The sequence below is a fragment of the Homo sapiens genome, chromosome 19, assembly GCF_000001405.40.
Source record: "Homo sapiens chromosome 19, GRCh38.p14 Primary Assembly".
In the NCBI taxonomy this organism is placed as follows: Eukaryota; Metazoa; Chordata; class Mammalia; order Primates; family Hominidae; genus Homo; species Homo sapiens.
The window spans coordinates 35,974,586-35,992,229 of NC_000019.10; the positions used below are offsets into that span (position 1 = coordinate 35,974,586).

At 52.9% G+C, this 17,644-nt stretch overlaps 2 annotated features.

Annotated features, from left to right (window-relative positions):
* Positions 1,169-1,369: a silencer, noted in NCBI's record as "peak3455 fragment used in MPRA reporter construct". NCBI's record gives its function as "represses an SCP1 promoter by STARR-seq MPRAs in K562 erythroleukemia cells {active_cell/tissue: K562}" and the evidence as "EXISTENCE:reporter gene assay evidence [ECO:0000049][PMID:32103011]".
* Positions 12,358-12,417: an enhancer, noted in NCBI's record as "active region_14511". NCBI's record gives its function as "activates an Ori minimal core promoter by ATAC-STARR-seq in GM12878 lymphoblastoid cells {active_cell/tissue: GM12878}" and the evidence as "EXISTENCE:reporter gene assay evidence [ECO:0000049][PMID:35858748]".

Sequence of the window (17,644 nt, forward strand, 5' to 3'; positions counted from 1 at the left end):
CTCAGCTTCCCAAGTATCTGGGACCACGGGCATGTGCCACTATGCCCAGATAATTTTTTAATTTTTTTTGTAAAGATGAGGTCTTCCTATGTTGCCCAGGCTGGTCTCTAATTCCTGAGCTCAAGTGATCCTCCCACCTTGGCCTCCCAAAATGCTGGGATTACAGATGTGAGCCACTACGCCTGTCCCAGAGCCAGACTTCTATGTTCTGGGGAGTGGACTTCTGGTTTCTTAGCACAGAGACTTCTTTACTCTGTGAGGCAGGGATTGCTGGGTCTGTTGCCTGGAGAGCTCCATTCTAGAGGGTGAGGACCACAGGATGTTGGTAGGGATTCCTGGAAGCTGAGAGCAGGGACATTTGCACTATAGGGGTGGCCAAATGCTTGGGTCTTGGAAACCAGACCTGGGAGTCCTGGTGTGAATACCTTTCCCTTCCTGTCTTTCTCCATCCCCACTCCTGCCCCTGCAGCTATTGAGTGCCCCGAAAACAATCACTATGAGCCATGTGGCTTATCCTGTCCAGAGACCCCCCACAGGCAGGCCCACTGGGGGTTACCACTGCCCTGCGGGCATACTTGTGCCTGCGACACAGGCTGCTTCTTCCTTTTTTAAGAGACAGGGTCCTGCCAGGCGCGGTGGCTCATGCCCGTAATCCCAGCACTTTAGGAGGCTGAGGCAGGCGGATAATCTGAGGTCAGGAGTTCAAGACCAGCCTGACCAATATGATGAAACCCCATCTCTACTAAAAATACAAAAATTAGTTGGGTGTGGTGGCAGGTGCCTATAATCCCAGAATCTAGGGAGGCTGAGACAGGAGAATCGCTTGAACTCAGGAGGTGGAGATTGGAGTGAGCCGAGATTGTGCCACTGCACTCCAGCCTGGGCGACAGAGCAAGACTCTGTCAAAAACAAAATCCTAGAATCTCAAGGGCAAGCCCCAGTGTACCAGAAGTGTCAGACTCTGGGATCTTGGAACCCAGTTCTGAGCCAATAATTCCATTTCCTCATTCAACAACCATATATTGAGTATCTACTGTGTTCCAGGCACTATTTGAAGTGCTTCTTTAAGTATGTTAACTGAATTTCAGAACACACTCTCAGTCCAGGTCCTGGGCACCCCCATATAGGATCCAGGAGTTCTAAAGTCCCAATCCCCAATGTTTACAAACCCTCACAGCCCCCCAAATCCTAGATGCCAAACACAACTGCTGTGGACAACAACGATCAGAACCATGGACAGCAGTTCAGGCATTTGTAGCTGCTGTGGGCCCACCCCCTGCCCAGTACCAGTCATCACAGCACCCTGGAACCCCTGCCATTACTTAGAAAGTCCAGCATCCTTGGAATGCTTATAGACCAGCATCACCTATGAACCTCATTCATTTATTCATTCATGCATTAGTTCGACAAATATTTATTGAGCACCAACTATGAGCTGAGAACTGTTCTATTTTATACACGTGTGTGTGTGTGTGTGTGTGTGTATGTGTGTGTGTGTGTGTGTATGTATGTATTTGAGACAGTCTCACTCTTGCCCAGGCTAGAATGCAGTGGTGGGACCGCGGCTCACTGTAGCCTCAACCACTTGGACTTAAGCAATCCTCTCACCTCTTGCCCCTGTAGCCTCTCTAGTAGCTGGGACTACAGGTGCAAGTCAATATGTATGTTCATTTTTTGGAAAGACAGGGTCTTACTGTGTTGTCCAGGCTGGCCTCGAACTCCAGGATTCAAGCAATTGGCCCGCCTTGGCCTCCCAAGTTGCTGAGATTAAAGCATCACCTACTGCACCCAGCCTATTCTGCACATAAACTATATCAATTCTAATTGAGGAAAACTATAGTCCCAACCTCCAGAATCCATAATTCTTACCTCTCAAGATTTGTTGAAAAGGGTGGTCAGGATCATGAACAGCAGTCCAAGCATTTCTAGGTTTGTGGACAGACCCCCAGCCCCTCAACTGGCCCCCCAGAACCCCTGCTAAAAGCAGGGGTCCAGGCATCCTTGGTACTGACACTGGGCCCCCAAGCTCTAGCTTGACCTGCCCTCTCCCCGCAGGTGAATGGTGACTGCAAGAATCTGCACTTACAGGCTCCAGGCAACAGTGCACTCATCTTCTGCCAGGGCTGGGACACCATGGCCAGCTGCCCCTTTGGCCTGTGTGGGACCTACACCCCGGGATCCATGCAACACTGATGCTACCAGCAGCAATAGGGGCGGGGTTAGGTGCTGACTACACTGGGGGGTACCTGGATGCCCAGAGTTGAGGCAAGCACCAAGCTGCCTGAGGACATATTGGCTTGGGCCTGTGGCTGCTTGGTGGGCTGTCTGGGTGTCCAAATGCCTCTGGCAAGATGCCATCATGACCACCATCCTGTGCCACCCTGCCAACCACTAGCACCCTGGCCCACTTTGTTCACATCTATGGCATCCTCCTGGATGCCCTGGGGCCCCTCCAGCTGTGTCATGAGTTGCTGGCACCAGGTCCCTATTTCCAACACTGAGTGGTGGAGATGTGTCTGGGTGCTGGACCCTGCCGCATGCTCATCCGGGTTTGTTCATCTGGGGAGCCTGGCTCCACTCCCGACTGGAGTTCAGCTCCTCAGCTGTTGCCTATCCCAGGATGGCAGACCCTCACTGCCCCATTTAATCCCTGAGACCTTGTACTTCCCGTGATGCCGGCCTCACCCCCTCCCCACTCATTGTCCAGACTTGACCTCAACCATTGCCCATCCTAAAGTGTCAGCCCTACTCTGATTAAAGCCAGCCCCCACCTCATATGCTTCCCCAATCTCAGCCCTGATTATGGCCCAGCACTTCAGCCCTTATCTCTTCAGGGACTCAGAACCTGATCACGGCCCAGCCCCGAAGCCGTCACCCATCCCAGAGACCCATCACTGCCTGTGAACCACAGTTAGCCACCTGGGCTTTACTGATCTGAGGTTCCAGCTTCAGTTCTGTCTAAGCTGAGCTCTCCAGCCCCACCCCTGCAGGGCACCAGATGACAGATCCTAGCGCCCCCTGCATGGAGGGTGGGCCCACGGCAGCCACTTGCCCGCCATCTGGTGCTGCTGCCTGCCAAGGTTGGTGGCTTGCAAACCCTGCCACATCCCCTAGGAGGCCCCAGGCCTCTGCACAGCCTCAGGCAACTCCATGACCGCCCCTTTGGGAGCACCACATTTGGGCTCCTGGGTGTCTGCACGGTTTTGGGCTGCCTGTGGGGTGTGCAGCCCTTCGAGGTGGTGCTGGAGAGAGACCTGGGACTGTCCGGCCTCTGCCATGTGCTGCTGCTATGTGTGCATGGCCACTACTTTGGTGTGGACCTCGGTAACCAGGGACAGTCAAGAGAACCCTTGTCCTGTCATTTACCTCATTTTAGCAACTTTGCATCTCTGTTCCGGTGGACAGGATCTCTGTGTATGGCTCTCTGATGCCTTCCTTCCCTTCCCCTTGCCAACACCCTAATTTCCACTCTTCTCCTCCCTTCTCCCATCTGCACTTCTGTATCGCTCTCCTTCCCTTTCCCTTTCCTTATTTCTTTCTTTCTTTCTTTTTTTCTTGATGGAGTGTTACTCTGTTGCCCAGACCGGAGTGCAATGGCACTGCAACCTCCGCCTACTGGGATCAAGCAATTCTCCTGCTTCAGCCTCCTGAGTAGCTGGGATTACAGGTGTGCACCACGACACCCAGCTAAGTTTTATATTTTTAGTAGAGATGGGGTTTCACCACATTGGCCAGGTTGGTCTCAAACTCCTGGCCACAGCTCATCCACTGGCCTCCCAAAGTGCTGGGATTACAGGCATGAGCTGCCGTGCCTGGCCCTCATGGTCCACATTGGACCTTAACCCATCCTAAAGTGCCAGCCCTGCTCTGATTAAAGCCAGTCCCCTGCTGGCCGCACCTCCTGCTCCATGCAGCCCAGTCTCACTGTGTCTCCCCCACTCCCCTCCTCCCTCACTTCACCACGCCAGCACGCCCCACCACTCTCTCCTGCCCCAAGTCTTCATCTCCCCGTTCTTTCTCCTCCTCTTAGATCTGGAAGTGACCCCTCTCCCCAACAGCTGCCATTGGCTCCTCCCCAAACCCCTTCCCTGCCTGCCCCTCCCTCACCACCAACCCTTCCTCTCAGAATAGCCCCTCGTCCTCTTAGTCTCTCCAGACTCCTCCCTGGCTCTAGATCCCTCCCTTGTCCCTAATGCTAATCCCTGTTTCTCCCCACACCGCCCTGCCCACCCTACTACTCTCTCTCCTCCTCCCTTGGTCTCCACGCCCCTCCCCTGACTTCCTGCCGTGGTGCTGGTCGTACTCCACAATGCCCATCCTGAGTGTTGCCTACAACCCCCTCGCCTCGGCTCTCCCCTCCCCCACAGTCCCGTGTTTCTTCATACCTCACCCCCATGTTCCTTCTCACATGCATCTGATCCCCCTCCACTCTTCCCGCACCAGTCCTGGCACACCGCCTCCGACCTCTGATTCCCCGTGGCCTCCATGGCAACTGCAAAGGTAAGACAGCAGGTGGATGACTTGGCAGCTGCCGAGGCCCGAGCCCTGCGCCCCGCCGCATACTTGCCCAAGGTCAGTCTGTCCGGCAGCCACCGAGGACCCTGGCACAGACACGATGTGGTCCAGTGCCTGTAGCCTCTTGCCTAGCCAGGGACCCACTGGCACCCTGTCACACACACCTGTCACCAGACAGTCCTTCTTCCAGGCCTGCGTGGCCGAAGTGGACCACATCCCTGGAACCACAAAGTGCCCCATGCCTGCCTGTGAGCTGATGGCTGGTACCAGTGTGCTGTCCTGGAGGGCCTGGGCCTCTGCTGTGAGTCTCCACCCAAGAGCGGACAGAGCCAGCATGAGGCAGGGCCTGCAAGAGACCTGGGTCTGGTCTGTAGTGACTCCACAGGTACGGATTGAGGACCTACTAAGTGCTGGGCATAGGCTGGAGATAGAGCACCAACAGGATAGAGTCCTGCACATACCTTTTTTTTTTTTTTTTTTTTTGAGACATTCTTGCTCTGTCACCCAGGCTGGAGTGCAGTGACGCAATCTCGGCTCGCTGCAACCTCCACCTCCTGGGTTCAAGCGATTCTCCAGCCTCAGCCTCCCGAGTAGCTGGGACTACAGGCACTCACCACCACGTCCGGTTAATTTTTGTATTTTTAGTAGAGATGGGGTTTCACCATGGTGGCCAGGCTGGTCTCAAACTCCTGACCTCAGGTGATCTGCCTGCCTCAGCTTCCCAAAGTGCTGGGATTACAGGCGTGAGCCACCGCGCTCAGCTGAGTACTGCACATATTCTTGTGGGGAAGACAGATTTGATTTTCTTTCTTAGCTAACACTTACAGGGCACACAACCTACATCAGGGGCTACCTGAAGACAGCAGTTCTTAAAGCCCCCCAGCAGCATTAGCAACACCCAGAGCTTATTGAAAATGCAAAATCTGGCCAGGTGCAGTGGCTCACACCTGTAATCCCAACACTTTGGGAATTGCTTGAACCCAGGAGTTCAAGACCAGCCTGGGCAACATGGCAAGACCCTGTCTCTGCAAAAAAAGTTAAACAATTAGCCAGGTGTGGTGGCATGTGCCTGTGGTCCCAACCACAGCTCTGGAGGCTGAGTAGGGAGGATCACTGGAGCCCAGGATTTGGAGGCTGCAGTGAGTTATTATGGCAGTACTGCACTCCAGCCTGGGTGACAAAGTGAGACCCTGTCTCAAAAAAAAAAAGGGCCAGGCACAGTGGCTCACACTGTGATCCCAGCACTTTGGGAGGCAAAGGCGGGTGGATCACAGGGGGCCAGGAGTTTGAGACCAGCCTGGACAAAACCCCGTCCCTACTAGACGGGGCAAAAACCCGTCCCTACTAGAAAGACAAAAATTAGCCGGAGGCCGGGCATGGTGGCTCACACTTGTAATCCCAGCACTTTGGGAGGCAGAGGCGGGTGGATCATGAGGTCAGGAGATCGAGACCACGGTGAAACCCCGTCTCTACTAAAAATACAAAAAATTAGCCGGGAGTGGTGGCGGGTGCCTGTAGTTCCAGCTACTTGGGAGGCTGAGGCAGAAGAATGGCATGAACCCAGAGGCGGAGCTTGCAGTGAGCTGAGATTGCACCACTGCACTCCAGTCTGGGTGACAGAGCGAGACTCCATCTCAAAAAAAAAAAAAAAAAAAAAAAAAAAGAACGGCTGACCTTTACTGAGTACTCTCTCAGTTCTAAGCCCTGTTCTCCCTCAATCAATCCTCCCATTTACATTTTATGGATGAAGGAAACCAAGGCATGGATGGTTAAGGAATGTGCCCGATGTCACATGCCTAAAACATGGCATAGCTGGCATCTGAATATTTGTTCGTGGATTTAACAGATTCTCCCCAACTTGGAGTCTCTATATCCACGTCTCCTCCATGTGCCTCAAGGATTCCTGGCCCCACCCTGACTTACCCTTTTTGGGTCACCATCCTCCACTCCCCCCATCTCTTTTTGCCTCTAGGTTGAAGTGCTCGTTGAGGGAATCTGTCTGGCCTTTTGCTATAGATTGGCCTCTCGCCCCCGCGAAACACACACACTTTTTGTCCAGCTCTGACCTAACCATCTATGGCAAGAGGTAGGGTCATGTGAACACAATGTGGTCACTCTATCAGGAAGGATTCTTTTCTTTTCTTTTCTTTTCTTTTCTTTTCTTTTCTCTTCTCTTCTCTTCTCTTCTCTTCTCTTCTCTTCTTTTCTTTTCTTTTCTTTTCTTTTCTTTTCTTTTTTGAGACAGAGTCTTCCTCTGTTGCCCAGGCTGGAATTCAATGGTGTGATATCAGCTTACTGCAGCCTCAACCTCCTGGGCTCAAGCGATCCTCCCATCCTTGCCTCCCAAGTAGCTGGAACTACAGGCACACGCCACCATGTCCAGATAATTTTTGTACTTTTTGTAGTGATGGGCTTTTGCCATGTGGCCCAGGCTGGTCTTGAATTCCTGGGCTCAAGCGATCCACCTACCTCAGCCTCCCAAATTGCTGGGATTACAGGTATGATCCACTATGCACAGACCCTGGAGAAAATTTAACACCCTTTGCCATCGGTTCCTGCAAAGGTCCCAGGGTTGCCTCTGATAGGCTTTGCCTGGCCAATGATTGGGGCCCAGAGGCGTGAGAAATAAGCTGATTAGGCAGCCCTGGGTCCTGTACACATCACTGGATCCTGGATATGGAATCCCTTCAGTGCACATGCTGAAAGTACGGGCAGCTGCCAAAAAGAAGGTGCAAGTATTATTATTAGAAGGGTGAGGGACAGGCGTGGTGGCTCACTCCTGTAATCCCAACACTTTGGGAGGCTGAGGCGGGTGGATCACCCAAGGCCAGGAGTTCGAGACCAGCCTGGCAAACATGGTGAAACCCCATCTCTAGTAAAAATGTGAAAAACAACAACAACAACAACAAAACAGCTGGCGTGGTTGTGTGCACCTGTAATCCCAGTTACTTGGGAGGCTGAGGCAGAAGAATCGCATGAACCCAGGAGGAGGAGTTTGCAGTGAGCTGAGATCGAGCCACTGCACTCCAGCCTGGGTGACAGAGCAAGACTCCGTCTCAAAAAAAAAAAAAAAAAAAAGGGTGGGGAAGGCAAAAAAGGCATTCATTACTAGAGATCCCTGACAGGTTCCCCACACACCCATGATGCTGGGTGGGACCACATGTCTCCCTGTCAGCAGAGGCTGGGAATAGTAGGCAAGACCCCTCCAAAAAAAGAGCAAGGAAGCCATGTTTGTCATGTCCAGGGCACTTGAAAGTAGCTAGCACACTGCATGGTATGCAGACACTGCCCAGTCAATGCCGGTTGTTATTATTGCTGCTATAATTAATCCAAGGGGGAGGGTTGCTGGGAGGATGCTGTCTGGGGATGCTGGTTGAATAGAGGGTGGGTCCCTGGCTTGCCTGAGCCTCTCAAGCCACCTCTCCAAAGCCAGGCTGTGTTCCTGGCACAGCCACCACAGCCTGTGTGTGAACCCAGGTGTGCAAGAGGTGGTAGGGCTCCCCACTCCCCATGCTGAGGGCCACAAGTGTAAGGATGGAGTCTTCCCGGCTGGGGGTGACTGCATCCCTGTTCCTCCTTCTGCAATGGCCAGTACTTCCCTGCAAGCATTCTCTCCGGTCTTTGTTAACAGTCTTGCTTGGGTCATCCACTGATTCCCCGTACTTATCCTTACATGGGTCTTATCTCAGAACCCATAGCTGCACCCTCCCTCCATGACCACCTCACCATCCCCACACCACCCCCAACCCCCATTCCTCCCCAGCCTGGCCAGACCATCCTCATCAAGGTCCCTTCCTCCTCCTGTACCTGCTGGCTAGGAGAGGCTATGACCCATGTTCCCCTTCAGCTGCCCTAGAGGGCAGGTATGTGGCATCACAGATGGAGTCTTAGGCTGTCAATTCTGAGGTGTCCATGGCTGTGGCTTTGGTGCAGTTGTGTGGTTACAGAAGTGGAGTCAAAGATTGGGGCATGAGGCCAGGCATGGTGGCTTATGCCTGTAATACCAGCACTTTGGGAGGCCAAGGCAAGTGGATCACTTGAGGTCAGGAGTTCAAGACCAGCCTGGTCAACATGGTGAAACCCTGTCTCTACTAAAAATACAAAAATTGGTCAGATGTGGTCATGGGTGCCTGCAATCCCAACTATTCGGGAAGCTGAGACTGGAGAATCACTTGAACTCAGGAGGCAGAGGTTACAGTGAGCCGAGATCGTGCCATTGCACTCTAGTCTGGGTGAAAGAGCGAGTCTCTCTCTCTCTCACACACACACACACACACACACACACTCATGCGCATACACACACACACACACACACACACATATCGGGGCGTGACTTCTGGATCATGAGAAAGAAGGGACTGGGGACCTTGTCTTCATGGGTCCCTGATCCCTCTTCCTCTGACAGCCCCCCACCTCGACCCCTGCCCTGAGTCTTGTGACCCCACCACTTGTTTTCCCACCATTGTGTCCCAGCCACAGTCCCCAGTGCCCAGAATACTCCTGCTTTGTCGCACATGGCTCTGCATGCCCAGCCACATGTGCCAACCTCATCAGCCCCAGTGCACTGCAGCCACCCTGTACCGCTACTTTCAAAGCCTGACTAGCTGCCTGCTGCAGGAGGGCTGCTGCCCAGCCCTTGGGGTCCTGGTAACCAGGGTGCCCCAGTGCTGGCCTGACAAGTGCCAAGATCACTGCAAGGCCTCCACAGGTAGCTGGCACAGCTGCCTGTCAACCCAGTCCCTGTCCAGCCCCATTGTCCTGGAGGAATCACAGGTCTGCACTGCCATGGGAGCTGTCTGTTTCCACACATTTGGAGGAGCTCACTATGAATTCCTCATCTCTTGTGTCCACTGCCTGGTGCGTCTCTGTGGCGCAGCCCATGCCAACCTTGAGCCTTCAGCCTGGATCTGCTCCCACTTCTGTGGCCACACAGCTTCCCCAAGGCCCTGACCCTCTCACCCTGTGGCCCGAGGACATGAGCCCAAAAGACCTCAACCACAGTGAGGTGAGGCTCCAAAGGCCCCACACTGACCCACTCTTCCTCACTGTCCCATCTACTCCCCGGTCACCCATGATGACTACTCTTTTCCTACTGATGCTCCCTCTAGTAGTTCTGCCCCTGGCCCTTAAAGATGTCTACTCCAATTTCCTAGTGGCCCTAGTGGCACCAGTGGCTACTCACCACCTTCCCCTTGACTTGCTTGTTGACCCCTCCCCACGACTCTCCACTTGTCATTATTATTATTATTGAGACAGAGTCTCATGCTGCTGCCCAGGCTGGAGTGCGATAGTGTGATCTCAGCTCACTGCAACCTCCACCTCCCAGGTTCAAGTGATTCTCCTGCCTCAGCCTCCCAAGTAGCTGGGACTACAGGCACGTGCCACCACGCCTGGCTAATTTTTGTATTTTTGGTAGAGACGGGGTTTCACCATATAGCCCAGGTTGGTCTCTAACTCCTGATGTCAAGTTATCCACCTGCCTCAGCCTCCCAAAGTGCTGGAATTACAGGGGGCCACCATGCCTGGCATCCACTTGTCATTATTAACCGCCATTGAGATTCCACTTACCCTCCCATTGACTCTCCATTGAATCCTCAATAGTCATCCTATTAACTCCCTAATTGAATCCCCTCAACCCACAGGCTCAGCCTCATCTCTGCATTGACCCTCCCTGTCATTGGACATCCCATTAATTATTTCATTGAGTCATCCATTGCCCTCCCCCAGCTGATCCTACTACGTTTGTTTGTTTGTTTGTTTGTTGAGACAGAGTCTCTCTGTTGTCCAGGCTGGAGTCCAGTGGCGTGATCCCGGCTCACTGCAGCCTCAACCTTCTGAGCTCAAGCAATCCTCTCACCTCAGCCTCCTGAGTAGTTGGGACTATAAGCACACGCCACCACAACTGGCTACTTTTTAAAATTTTTTGTAGACAGGGGGTCTCGCTATGTTGCCCGGGCTGGTCTTGAACTCCTGGGCTCAAATGATCTTCCTGCCTTGGCCTCCCAAAGTGCTGGGATTAGAGGCATGAGCCACCATACCTGACCAATCCTACTGCTGTTATACTGACTTGCCCATTAATCCCATTTACTGTCCTATTGACCCCACCCGACACCGTCCCGACCTCCCACACTGATGCTTTCTGAGCAGTTTGTTGACCTTCCCAGTGATCCATTGACTGGCCTATTAATGTCCTCATTTACCCCCTGTGGACCTGCCCATCAAGCCCCCACCCCTGCCATCTACTGATTCTCTACTGAGCTTCCTATACTGGATATGACTAACTCCTGCACTGCATTCCCCTGCTTTTCTATTATCCCTCTAATTGAGCCTCTCTTTGACTCATCTTCTCACCCTGTTGAGTTTTCTATAGTGTCCCATTCATTCATTGGCACACCTTCTCCTAGAGCACTGTCCAAGTCTCACTAGGCCCTCATTGATCATAGAGGCATCCTTCCCAGTAGGATGTTGCCCATTAACCTTGAACTGCCATCCACAAACCCAGCAGCGTTTGTCAGTCACTGACTACCCTTCTGACTCCACCCCCATTTACTCTCCAGGGGAGCCCCCATTGTCGCCCAAAGCCACTAAGCCTCGGTCCTCAGTGATCCACGGAGTTGTCCATCCCTTCCTCCATTGCCCTTTTCTAGATCCTCCCCTTGCCCCCCGCTGCTGGCCCCTCTTCACTGACTCTTATCCATTCTCTTATTGCCCCTCATTGAACTTCCACTGACCTCTCATCAACTCTGGCCATCCAACCACTCTGCCATGGATCCCCCTTTGAATCCTATACTGACCCCCCATTGAGCCCCAAGCTTACCTCCCACCAAATCCTCCTATGATCCCTAATGACTCCCCCCATTAACCAGCCACTAAGGTTCTCTTTGACCCCTCTCTGATCCTTTCTGCTGACTCCCCCACTACTCAGTGACCATCTCCTGCTGCTGTTCAACCTGCCTGCATGCCCTCTGTGTAGGTAGACGGAATTTGGGAATCGCTGCCCTTCTCTTATGGCCACCACCTCCACACCCAACTTTGGGGCTGCCAGCTGTACATGGACACAGACTTTGGCCTCTTGCTATGACTGGGACAGCCTGGCACTTGTGATGCTGCCATGGCCATATGGACCCTACCTGTGTAGACTCTGGCCCCAGTGACCCTATTACATCCTTGCCCAATGCCCGGAAGGTTGCTAAGTTGCCAGGTTGCAGCCAGGTCTGTGGGCCCCTCTGCCCTGGATTTTGCCAGATGGCCGTGCATGCCCTATTCACCAGGAATGGGCAGTGAGTGTGGCTGGCAGTGGCGGTGGATCCCTTGGAGCCCGGCTATGCAGCACTGTGACCAGGCCCATTCCTCAGCAAGTGCCTGGCCCACTGTGTGCCACCAATACAGCGCCCACTGAACCATATACTGGGCCCTGGCTGCCTACACTGTGGCTTGCAGGGCTCTGGGAGTCTGCCTTCTGTCACGAGTGTGCTTTCGAGAGAGGGGTAAGCTCTGAAGAGCCCTGACATGGGCCACCAGGGGACGGTCGCGTCAGGACCAACAGAAGTTCAGGCCTGGGCAGTGGGGCTAGGCGAGGAAGGGTGGGTACTGGAGAACAGTTAGGACCAGATTAGATGCGGCAAGACAGGCAGGGGTATGACTTGATTTGATTGGTCTGGTTTGATTAACAAGGTCTTTTTAAAATTTTTAACAATTTTTATAGAGACAGGGGTCTCACTATGTTGCCCAAGCTTGCCTCGAATCCTTGGGCGCAAGCGGCTCTCCCTCCTCAGCCTCTTAAAGTGCTGGGATTACAGGCGTGAGCCACAGCGCCCGGCCTGATTAACAAGGTCTTTCTGTCTTTTATGCCTCTTTTTTCGGTGTCTCTATGTCTCCTCCGTGCCGCTGGCTCTCTGCATGTCTCTCTTTCTGGACCTCCCTCTGCCCCGCCCCTTCCCCTGTTCCCGTTCCCCTTCTCTCGGTTCCTCGTTGTTTCTTCCCCGGGCACACCCGTGCTGCTCTCTGCGGGCATCCTCCATCTCCGCCTCCCCCATCCGACCCTGGCTATGTCTCCCCCACCTCTCTCTGTCTCTGTCCCTGACCCTCCCACCCCCGCGGCCCGCCCCAGCTTTGCGGTGCCCGCTGCGTTCGCGCTGAGCTGCGCGCTACCTGGCCACATGCGCGGGTGACAGCCCTGCCGGGAGCGCTGAGTATGCGGCCAGGGCTTCCCGCTGAGCGGCGCCTCTGAGTGCCCGCAGCCGAATGCGGCTGCTTCCTTGCAGGCGGACACCCACCGCTGGGCACCGTCTGGTACCCTGCCCCTGCGGCCCCCGCCCCCGCGCTCCGCCCCTGTGCTCTCCCTTGCTGGCCCGCACCATTCCCGGGCTCAAAAAAATAAATTAAAAATTAGGCGGGGGGGGGGGGGGGTGGTGCGCGCCTGTGTTCCCAGCTGCTCAAGAGACTGAGGTAGGAAGATCCTTAAGCCCAGGAGGTCGAGGCTGCAGTGAGCCATGGTGGCGCCACTGCACTCCAGCCTAGGCAACAGAGCCAGACCTCGTCTCTAAAAGAATTAAATAAAATTAAAAAGTGTATGTCTTTAAAAGATAAGGGTGTTTAGGCCAGGCACGGTGGCTCACTCCAGTGATCCCAACCCTTTGGGAGGCCGAGGCGGGCAAATCACTTGAGGTCAGGAGTTCGAGGACAGCCTGGGCCAACATGGTGAAACCCTGTCTCTATTAAAAACACAAAAATTAGCCGGAAGTGGTGGTGCATGCCTGTAGTACCAGCTATTCAGGAGGCTGAGGCAGGAGAATTGCTTGAGCCCAGGAGGTGGAGGTTGCAGTGAGCCGAGATCGTGCCACTGCACTCCAGCCTGGGCAACAGAGCAAGAGTCTGTCTAAAAAAAATAAGAAAAAAGAAAAAAGACAAAAAAAAAGATAAGGGTGTTTAGCAGAGTCAGCTAGATGGTGGGGATGGAGTATAGGAAGGACAGGCATGACTGAGTAGAGACAAGATAAAGGGTTATGGCCTGGTGCGGTGGCCCACGCCTGTAATCCCAGCACTTTGGGAGGCCAAGGCAGGTGGATCACGAGGTCAGGCATTCAAGACCAGACTGGCCAAGATGGTGAAACCCCGTCTCTACTAAAAATACAAAAATTAGCTGGCCATGGTGGTGCGTGCCTGTAACCCCAGCTACTTGGGAGGCTGAGGCAGAGAACTGCTTGAACCTAGGAGGCGGAGGTTGCAGTGAGCCAAGATTGCGCCACTGCACTCCAGCCTAGGTGACAGAGTGAGACTCTGTCTCAAAAAAAAAAAAAAAAAAAAGGTAACAGGTTATTAGCAGGGTCGGGAAATGAATGATGGTAATCTAGACTCTTGATGGTTACAAAGCAGAGATAAGTGATCATTTAAGCAATAGAGAGAAGGTGGAATTGATACTTTGGTAAGTCATTCCTTTCCTCACCTAGAATGTTGAACACATATTACCAATGTGCTAGTGACTGGCTATGATGTTTTTTGTTTGGTTGGTTTTTGTTTTGTTTTGTTTTTGGAGACAGAATGTTACTCTGTCACCCAGGCTGGAGCATAGTCATGTGATCACAGCTCACTGCAGCCCCAAATTCCTGGGCTCAAGTGATCCCCCCGCTTCAGCTTCTGGAGTAGCTGTGACTACAGGCATGCCCCACCATGCCATCCTAATTTTTGTAGAGATGGGGTCTCAGTATGTTGCTCAGGCTGGTCTCAAACTTCTGGGCTCAAGGGATCCTCCTGCCTTAGCCTCCCAAAGTGCTGGGATTACAGATGTGAGCCAACATGCCCGGCCAATTTAGTGTTTTATTTAGTGCTTTTCATGTGCTCAGCACTGTTCTGAGGAATTTTCATGAACCATCTCATCTAATCCTTATTGCAACTGTATCAGTCAGCTAATGCTGCATAACAAACAACCTCAAAATCTTAGTGACTTAACCCCAGGCAGCTTCCTAACTCATGTGTCTGTGGGTTGGTTGGCATTGGCCGATCTTAGCAGGGGTCATGAAGCACTTACCATATGCCTAGCATAGGTACTCTTTTTTTTTTTTTTGAGATGGAGTCTCAGTCTGTCGCCCAGGCAGTGCAATGGCACCATCTTGGCTCACTGCAACCTCTGCCTCCCAGGTTCAAGCGATTCTTCTGCCTCAGCCTCCTGAGCAGCTGGGACTACAGGCCTGCACCACCACACCTGGCTAATTTTTGAGTTTTTAGTAGAGATGGGGTTTCTTCATGTTGGCCAAGATGGTCTCGAACTCCTGGCCTCAAGTGACCCGCCCACCTCAACCTCCCAAAGTGCTGGGATTACAGGCATGAGCCACCGCACCCAGCCTGAAGTAGGTACTCTTGTCCTTCCATGTTACAAACACAGAAACTGAAGTTCAGAAAGGCTAAGTCCCTTGTCCAAGTCTCACCCTCATTTGTGGCGCAATGAGGAGGGACATCCAGGTTTCAGGGAGGCATGGGAGCAGGTTCAGCCTCCTCAGCCCCAGTCCTGACCCCTTACCTCCCCTGCAGGTGGATGGTGAGCACTACTGGCTGCCCTGGGCACTGCCAGGGGGCTGGGGTTGGCCGCCTTGGAGGGCCACCATGCCATGGTGCACATGGCCTGTGGGCTGTATCTCATGTACACCTGGGGAAGCTCATGGTGCCTTCTGAATTCTAAGGCGAGCTGGCGGGGCTCCATGGGTCCTTTGGAGGCAATGTTGGCCTACTTGACCTGCCTCTGGATACCGTGTCCTGGTCCAAGGGCCTGATCACTATCCACTGCCCACTGACCCAGCCCAACCATGGCTTTCATGTCAGCTGCCCACATGACTTGCCCAGATCTTCAAAGCTCCCAAACTGTGTGGCCTCCTGCATGTGCCGGATGGCCCCTTTAACCACTGTGTGGCCCACATCAACAAGCCCTTCCTTAGTATATGCCTGCAGGATGCGTGTCATCCCAGTGGCCAGCACCGTGGTCTCTGTGACACTCTCACAGGCCATACTGCAGCAGCCAGGAGCCTGGGAACCCTGTGATGCCCTGGAGGGGCCCCAAGCATTGCCATAAGTGCTCTGGCTTGGTCTGGGGTGCAGGCAGGGCAGACTATGGGTTGGCTGGAAGAGCCCCTTCCCCTGGTGGGAGTCCAGGAAGAATTCCTAGCATAGGTGGAATTGGTGGAGGAGAATGTGTGGGAAGAGGATCCAAGGGAAAGGGAACTGCAGCTACAAAGGTGTGGAGGTGGGGAAATACCAATGGGAAGCCAGGCTGACTAGGGGCAGAGGCGATGAGATTGGAAAGAGGAATTTGAGGCTGGGCGCGATGGTTCCTGCCTGTAATCCCAGCACTTTGGGAGGCTGAGGTGGGTGGATCACCTGAGGTCAGGAGTTCAAAACCAGCCTGGCCAACATAGTAAAACAGTGTCTCTACTAAAAATACAAAAATTAGCCGGGTGTGGTGGCACACACCTGTAGTCCCAGCTACTTGAGAGGCTGAGGGTGGAGAATTGCTTGAACCTGGAGGTGGAGGTTGCAGTGAATGGAGATCACACCACTGCACTCGAGCCTGGGAGACAGAGGGAGACTCCATCTCAAAAAAAAAAAGAAGAAGAAGAAAGGAAGAAGGAAGAAGAAGGAAGAAGGGAAAAGAAGGAAGAAGAAGGAAGAAGGAAAAAGAAGGAAGAAGAAGAAGACGGAGGAGGAGAAGGACTAGGAGAAGGAGGAGGAAGGAGGAAGGAGGAAGAAGGAGGAAGAAGGAGGAAGAAGGAGGAAGAAGGAGGAAGAAGGAGGAAGAAGAAGGAAGAAGAAGAAAAGAAATTTGAGCCCTAGGCATTTATCTTTGCCAACTGCCTGCAGCACAGACCTGCCCACCCCAAGGCCATTACAGCATCTGTGCACAGACCTATGATTTGGGGTGTGTCCTGCCTGCCAACCCCGCTCACTGTTCCTCCCGATGCTATGAGAGCTATGAACGTGGCCTCACCATTGATGGCACAGACTGTGTGTCCCAGGACCACTGTGGCTGCTTCCACAATGAATGCTACCTTCTGGTGAGAGGGATCTCCAGGCCTGGAAGGTGAGGACAAGTCTCCCAAACCTCATCATAAGATGTTCCCTGAATCACCAGTATATCAGTCAGCATTTTCAGTTGTAAATGACAGAAAATGATGCCAGCTGTCTTAAATACAGACGAGAATTTGTCTGCTTTTACTTATCTGTAAAGATGAGGCCTTCAGGTCTGGCTGGTTCAAGGACTCAAATGATGTTGCTAAGAACTTAGTTTCTTTCCATCTTTCATCCTCGCCTTTTCCTTTTTCTGCGTTAGCTTCTATAGTAATTAGGCTCCAGGTCCATATGGTAGAACAAAAGCTCAAAATTACAGTGGCTTAAGCTTTTTGTTTGTTTTTAGAGAGAGGGTCTCACTCTGTCACCCAGGCTGGAATGCAGTGGCGTGATCATAGCTCACTACAGCCTTGACCTCCTGGACTCAAGCAATCCCGACACCTCAGCCTCCCAAGTAGCTAGGACTACAGTTATGTGCCACCATGCCTGGCCAATTTTTTTTTTTTTTTTTTTTTTTTTTTTTTTTGTAGAGACAAGGTCTTGTTGTGTTGTCCCGGCTGGTCCTGAACTCCTGGGTGCAAGCAATCCTCCCAACCTCAGCCTCCCAATGTGCTAGGATTACAGGCGTGAGCAATACGCTCAGCCTACAGTGGCTTAAACTTGATAGAAGCTTAATTATCTCTCACAGGCAGTCCAAGTATAACCAGTTTGCTTCCTCCAACACAGGCTCCATCTGTCACGTGGCTCTGCCTCCCCTGTGGTATTGCCCTCATCTCTTCCTCACCGCAGCTACATTCCTGCAAGTTGGAAGGAGAAAAGAGGGCACAAAGAGGCCAGGCCTCCTCCCTTTAAGGACAAAACCCAGAAATTGCACACATCACATCCATTCACTTCCCAGTGGCCAAACTTTATGGAAGGGCCCCATCTGGCTGCAAAGGGGGCTGGAAGATGTATCTTTAGCTAAGTGGCCATGTGTGCAGCTAAAGATTCTAATTTGGCCAAGTGCGGTGGCTCATGCCTGTAATTCCAGCACTCTGGGAAGCCGAGGTGGGAGGATCACTTGAGCCTAGGAATT